General features: G+C 33.5%; 1 non-coding gene across 1 annotated transcript, besides 1 other annotated feature; it reads left to right on the top strand.

Moving 5' to 3' along the window:
• Nucleotides 1-2,369: 2,369 nt before the first annotated feature.
• On the top strand, nt 2,370-2,440 carry MIR30A (microRNA 30a). Its single transcript, NR_029504.1, has one exon. It is a non-coding gene; the product is annotated as a microRNA 30a (primary transcript).
• Nucleotides 3,374-3,902: an enhancer, noted in NCBI's record as "OCT4-NANOG hESC enhancer chr6:72111792-72112320 (GRCh37/hg19 assembly coordinates)". NCBI's record gives its function as "activates a minimal SCP1, AML or CMV promoter by ChIP-STARR-seq in primed H9 embryonic stem cells {active_cell/tissue: H9 hESC(primed)}" and the evidence as "EXISTENCE:reporter gene assay evidence [ECO:0000049][PMID:30033119]".

Genomic DNA, 7,729 nt, shown 5'->3' with positions numbered 1-7,729 from the left:
GTACATTGTTTTTTGTAAGCATTTCTAGGGTTATATAAGACAAATCAGAGTCTGATGTATTGAACACAATTGGATCTTATTCTGCCATATTTGTTTTTAATTCACGATTTTTAAATGGATTTACTGGTCATATTTCTCAGGTCATGGCAAGATTTTTTAGTCTTAAACTTATTTAGCTCAGTCCTTCTAGATCAATGGTTCTCTGCCCTGAAGGTGTAGCAAAATTGTTTGATAGCTTTTGCAAAATTTACATACCCAGCAGCCTCCCCATCAGCTGAATAAGAATTGCAATGTGGATGTGGCAGAGGCAATCAGGTATGTGGGGTTAGAAGAAGCTGTCCTGGTCATTCTGTTGCCACCCTCTCACTTGGAGAATTGCTGATCCAATGAATTCCTTAACATAACTTTGAAAACACAGCGTTTTGCTCAGAACTTCATGAATAAACATCAAATTTTCACTAAACAAAATAATTAAAGACCATAAGATCTTAGTTATAATACTTCATAAATGGAAAAGCACTTTATTGCCTGTATGTATGTGGGCTCCTCTTTTAGCAAGATATGAGCTAGGTGAAGTCTATGTGAAAGCTAAAGCAGATTTATTCCAGTCAGATGCCAGACAATTTTACCAGTTTAACTGAGACTCATTATTACTTAAACTACATGCTTGTTTTTTTGGTTACTGAGTAGTATAGGTCCCACTTGGATCAGCAATTCTCAAAGTGAGAGGGTGGCAATAGAATTATTTAAGTAATTATTTGTTATTTGAGGTTGTTTGCTTAGTATTTACTTGTCACTGTTTTACATGTTATTTAATAATTTACAGTTATTTAAAAGTGGTAAGATTCCAAGGCAAGTAGGGGACCTGTCACTTTGAGAAAAATTTATGGTGGTAAAAATATTTTCTTTTTGTAAAGAGTCACTGATATACAATGTCCCCCCAGGGTGTAAGCCTTGGTATTTATCTATTTTAATTAAAGAGTACTCTGCCTGTCTAGTCGTGGCTAACTTAAAAGAAGTGGGTATCTTGGTGAGAAGTTCACAAGGTTGGTAGCCATAGCTGAGTTTGGTGGATTGACTCAAGCTCTAGTCAGCAGTGGTATATGAATGCCAAGTACTAAGAATTTCTGGAATGTAGAATTGCACAGCACTGATAAAGTTTGCTTTGTTCCCCTGTGTGACTTGACCCATTGAGAAAACTGGTTCCCTAGGAAGTTTTAATAGTTCAAAGTCCTTAGTTAATAAAGAAAAAGGCCACAACATAATTCAGCTTGTTTTCACCTGCTGACTCAAAGATTAACTTTTTTAACCTTAATGGGATAGAGTTACCCTTTGCTTTGAGAAAGTAATTTATGGAGTTCTTCATATTTGTTAGTTTCAGTAAACATGATGCTTTTTGTGTGGATTTTATTTTTGTTTCGGGTTTGAGATCACAAACTACTAAGACTTACACAATTTAAGAACCTTACGGTAACTTCATCTAAAAACAAATCTCAGGGAAAGGCACACCCACTTTTCTGTATCAACTTAATCTTTCACTAGATTCAGAATGGTTTTGAATTACTTCAGGAAAGTAGTGACTGATAGAGCTTAACCTTCAGTTTTCCTCATTTATTTTCATAAGAGAATGGGAGTGGAATTCAAAACATTCAAATTTGGAGTTAATGTGCGTCACTGTTGTGAGTGATAGGTTCTGTGTTTTTCCAGTGGGAAACTTTGATCCACATACTGATATATGCCTGTGTTATACCTCGTTATTCTTTTCTGTTTTTCTCCTGATTGTTGCTTACTCTTTCAAAAATCAGCTGACTGTACAAGTCCTCTCTGGGAGCAGACTTTAGAGCAAAAGTGATCTATAAAAGCAGCATGTAAGTCTTTTTTTTTTTTGTCAGAGTTTATAACTTTCCAAGTAGACCTTTTATATTTTCACGGTAGTCTAAGTTCACTCAACTGCAGTATTTGATGTTAAATGTACGCTTTACGCTGTTAAGATAATTTAGTTTCTGTGTTTGGTCACTTTTGCTTAAAGGATTGTAATTACATAATGCATGTTGAAATCATATTAAGTAACCTGGCCACTTGCCTATTTACTTCTTGTGGCTAACAATAATGAATGAAACCATTTATATATGTTGTTTTAGTATATCACAAAATTTTATAGAAACTAGAAGCTCGGTGATGAATAATAGACATCCATGAGCCTTCTTATTTGTTTTGAATTTGAGACATTTTCTAGAATATTGCTGTTTGAATGAGGCTTCAGTACTTTACAGAATCGTTGCCTGCACATCTTGGAAACACTTGCTGGGATTACTTCTTCAGGTTAACCCAACAGAAGGCTAAAGAAGGTATATTGCTGTTGACAGTGAGCGACTGTAAACATCCTCGACTGGAAGCTGTGAAGCCACAGATGGGCTTTCAGTCGGATGTTTGCAGCTGCCTACTGCCTCGGACTTCAAGGGGCTACTTTAGGAGCAATTATCTTGTTTACTAAAACTGAATACCTTGCTATCTCTTTGATACATTTTTACAAAGCTGAATTAAAATGGTATAAATTAAATCACTTTAAAACCATGTCTGTACATTTTTAGAGGGCTTCAGCAGGGCATTGAGGAGGTGCTCTGTGTATGCATAGAATTTGCAATATCAAAAAGAAAGTATTCGTAAGAGAAATGAGGAAATGTGTTACAGTATTTTTATTTTTTTTAAAAGCGTAGTAGGGCAATATTTCCCAGAAAAATCTATGAAGTGATTTGTTTTGTCCTGCCCTTTCTGCAGTTTCAAAATAGGTGTTTTTTAGACCCATTCACAAAAAAAAAATCCATTAATGAAACCACAATTATTTGGGGGAAAAAAGTAAGATGAAGGGTTAGTTATTTTCACATTACTTGGATTAAACCCCTTTTATTTCCTTATAGGCTTAGTGTTTAAGTAATAAAGTAGCAGCTCTCAGCTTAATAAAGTGTCTAAAACAAACAAATACTGATTCAACTAACTCTATTATTTGAAAAACCTATTCTTGTTTCAGATGATTAGAATAGTATTTTAGGAATTTGTGGATACTGTTTCCATTTGGTTGAACTTTTAACTTAGCTTTATGCAATAACTCATATCTCTTAAAAATAATAAATACATCAAATTCTATCCTAAATATATGAAGACAATTTTAAGATTCAGAATCCTGTAGAAGATTTCTGTGATGGACATAATTTCTAATTTTCCTTTTTTGTAAATGCGTATTTTTCTTATGGCGGATATTTTTAATATTATACACTTAAATAGAAATATTTAAGTGTATAAGAGAAATATTTAAGTGTATAATAGAAATATTAAGGATACACTTATATAGAAACTAGACACTTTAAAAAGATATGAAAGTGATATCTTTTGTCCTCTAAAACACAGTATTTTATAAATATATAGTGTTTCCATTAATGTAAAAGAGTTTCTTTTCCCTGTTTAATACCCATTGATGATGATGATAAAGAAGTGATACTAAAACAGTATGATCATACCACTATTTAAAATAGTAGCATTTCTTCTAATACCTGGGATGGAGAGAAATATGTGTTAGAAATGTCTTTAAGTTTCCCTCATACATAAAGCTATCAAAACTCTATTAGTCATGCTGGGCCATGAGAGGTTCATCAACTGCCACTGAAATGCAAGGGGCTTGGAGAGGCCTCTGCCAGGCCCTGGGTCTGGAACTGAGAATGTGGTCTATTTTAATTGGTAAGCTGAAAACCCCTGGAGCAAATAACTCGGCTGTTTTTCTGGGGTCACCCGACCGTATTTCCTAGGTAAATGACTATAGGTTTGAAGAAATGGTTAAACTTTTCCTAAATCTTTGACCTTCACTTTCTTTAGGTTCTCTTCCTATGTTATTTTATATCCTCTTCCTTACCTTACTGCCCCTAAATTTTCCATTTTTCATTTTTATCTGTTCATTTTGTTCATGTAAATAATTAGTTATGGGAACTTTTTAATTTGTAAAAATTACAGCATTTTTAATTATTTTTAAATCAACAAATACAAACCTCCATAAGCCATTCCGGGTAGTTTCAAAATTAATACCTAGTATTTCTTATGTCTTGTGCCCCACATTTCCACAGTAATAATGTAAACTACTATTTTAAAGTAACATCAACAGTCCAGGCACGGTGGCTTACGCCTGTAATCCCAGCACTTTAGGAGGCTGAGGCAGGTGGATCACTTGAGGTCAGGAGTTTGAGATCAATCTGAACAACATGGTGAAACCCTGTCTCCATTAAAAATACAAAAATTAGCTGGGTGTGGTGGCACGTGCCTGTAATCCCAGCTACTGAGGTGGCTGAGAATTGCTTGAACCTGAGAGGGAGAGGTTGTGGTGAGCCAAAATGGTGCCACTGAACTCCAGCCTGGGCGACAGAGCGAGCCTACCATCTCAAAAAAAATATATCTATATATATATATAGATATACATATAAATAAATAAAATAACATCAACAGTGTGTTATTCATAATTGAAATAAGATCTGGATGCAATTTTTTATTTTACAAAAAAAATAACTTCTAAAGTTTACAGTATTATGTTTCTACCACTACGTGGACAGAGTTACCATGCATGTGCTTAGGTAAGATAAACTAATATTTAACATAAATTAGAAACCCTTACTAATTGCTTTCATGTGTTTTTTTTCTTACTATAATTTTTAAAATTTCACATATCAGCATAATAAAATATCTATAAACTAAAACATAAAATTCTTAAAATGGACTGTAGTAAGTCAGTTACTGAAAATAAAACACTGTCAAAATGTGTTAGTTAAATGTAATGTGAGTGTTGCTATAAAGTTAGTAATGTTTAAAAAATAGCACCACACTGAGTAATCATCAAAAGTATTATACATTTAGTTTTTATTCATGATTTGCCAAAATAAAAATTGGCACATGCTTGAAAGGGAGATTTCTAAAGGAAGTTAAGAGCTTCTGAAAGTGTCAGTGGTGAATGATTTAAGTGATACTTATTTTTCCTGACCTTAAAACTCTGATTTGAACTTGCACTCCATTTTACAATGATGTTGTCTATAAATATTACACATGTATGAAGCCTTTCCTCTACTACAGAATAACTAAAACCAGACCAGAGGACTGTGGAGGCAAGGGAAATGCATTTGAAGGCCGTCTGCATGGGAATTAGTTACCTAGACCTGAGAAACCCCTTTCTATTTAGATTCCTCTCAGAATTGCTCTGTTTTCTTTTACTAGAATTTTAGCTAAACATTACCATTCAAGGGGAAAACAATCTTTCCTGAGTGGTATCAATTTTTGGTAGCTTAATAACACTAATTCAAAATTGCCCGTTATTTTTCTGTATCAGAAGAGTAACAGGAAGTTAATTGTTTATCTTAATTTTGGAAGCACCTTACTGAAATTTTAAAGGTGGTGCTTAGTGAACTGTCTTAACAATCTCACTAAAATAATACAGAAGACTTTCTTCATGTGGTTCTATATCATAAGAAGTATTCTGTATAGATATGGAAGATAAATTTCCTAGTGCGTACTGTAGTTGTTTTTGTGCACTGCCAAACAAATACATAATGAAGCTGTTAAATCATTTGAGATTGAGGGTTTTTATGATTATTATTTTTCCTCCTCATTTTTACACCTCCTAATGGCCAGTAAGTAAAATGCAAAAAAGTATCCTCTGATTATGTTTATTATTAGAAATAATAGTCAGTGAATTAAATATTCTTTAATAGACTTCTGTTGTAATGTGCGGAGAAGTGTCTCGCTAATGTACACTTCTAAAATCTCAATATGAATGTGATGGGCAAGTTAATGTTGCCAAGCAAGTGATGCTAAATCTGCCTTTCCTAATTTGTATACCTCATTATTATATAACCTTAATAATGCAGTACTTTCAGGGTAGAGGCTTTTTGATGCAAATTAAAACAAAGTAGGTTGGGGATTCATTTAGCACAAACACTAAATGTGAACTTACTGTCCCCACAGACTTCAGTGCCCTGAATGGTTAGAGAAATTAATGAAGGAGCTCCATCGGGTGCCTTTACAACTCTTAGTAATATGAGAATCTTTCCACAGCTCTCATTTCAAAAATGATAACATGAGATTTCAGGATGTGAAGTAACATATTAGCAAGTGTGTTAGAAAATATAAAATATTTTACAGTATGATAACATATCATCAGCTTGTTATTCTTAATGTGTTTCCTTGTAGGGCCTGACTACCATTTCTGAATTTTGGAATTTGGTATTTTTTAGTAAACGTTTGAAAAGATGAAATGCTTATACCAATAGCCTGTCAGTGAAGGAAAATTTATGTAAAAGCTAAAGAAATGCAGTTAAATATAAAATAAATATCTTAATGCCGTAAAACAGTAGCATTTGCAGTCATAATTCCCACAGTCAGTAACAATATATTTATTTTCAAGATGTGTGATGTTAATGCAATAAAAACATTGTTGCCCTATTTGAATGAAGATTTATTTGCACTGAGTATAACCCTGCAGAAATGAGTCAGAGAATTGGTAAAATTTGCAAATCCAAACATTCAACTTTGAGTGTTCATGTTTTGTGCATAATAGATCTAAGCGCATATCAAAGAAGTGATTTTGCTAAATTTATTACTCTTTAATCATGTTAGATTAAAATTATCTTTAGAATTACAATCTTTAAACTATGTAATGCCCACCTAGAAAATTTAATTTTCAAACGTTTGTTCTTTTTTATATGCTTTCAATGGTTTTCTTGGCCATATCAGCTATATAGTTGTCTTTCTGCAATTCTCATTCTACTCTTATACCCCAGTGAATCTATGTTTGGCTTAAAATAAATTTAGATGGTCAGATACTGAGTAAGAAATTAGGAAATCCACACACTGTTAATTCATAAAAACAATAATGTTCATTGAAATAATTAACCTTTCTGCACTTTAGTTTCTAGTTTGATTTTATTGATTTCTTATAATTTGACCTAAAATCTCTGTGTAATAAAAAATAAATCATCATGAGTTATTAGAAATTCTAAAATTTTAAGACTAATTAAAAAGTAAAATTCAGTTTATGAAAATGCAATTTACTGAGAGGTAATTTCTCTGTTCTTTTTGTATAGAATAGAATCTATTCAGGTTGTTGGTACACATGTAATTCTTATTGACTATGTGTGATATGCTAATAGCTAATTAAAACTACTTTCATTCAGTTTACCACCTGAGACAACAGAAAGACTAGTGCTGGAGAAGTTAGGGTTAAGTTTAGAGTTAGAAAACAAGCTCTCAAGGACTTGTAAGAGCAGTCCCATCCCCTGAATCTCAGGATATGGCAGCTCACTTTGACTGAAGGAAATTTTAAAGTCCTAGGGTGACTAACACTTTTCTAGCACTGTTGATTTTCTAGATTAGACAAGAATAAGAGAATACCAATGAAGGCAGGATGATTTTTTTTCTTTATTCTATTTTATTTATTTATTTATTTATTTATTTTTTTGAGACAGAGTCTCACTCTGTTGCCCAGGCTGGAGTATAGTGACACGATCCCGGCTCACTGCAAGCTCTGCCTCCCAGGTTCAAGCAATTCTCCTGCCTCAGCCTCCTGAGTAGCTGGGACTACAGGCGTGCGGCACCACACCTGGCTAATTTTTGTATTTTTAGTAGAGACGAGGTTTCACTATTTTGGCCAGGCTGGTCTCGAACTCCTGACTTCGTGATCCGCCCACCTTGGCCTCCCAAA

This window comes from Homo sapiens, chromosome 6 (genome assembly GCF_000001405.40).
Source record: "Homo sapiens chromosome 6, GRCh38.p14 Primary Assembly".
NCBI classification, from domain to species: Eukaryota; Metazoa; Chordata; class Mammalia; order Primates; family Hominidae; genus Homo; species Homo sapiens.
This window is presented reverse-complemented; position numbering and strand designations above follow the sequence as displayed.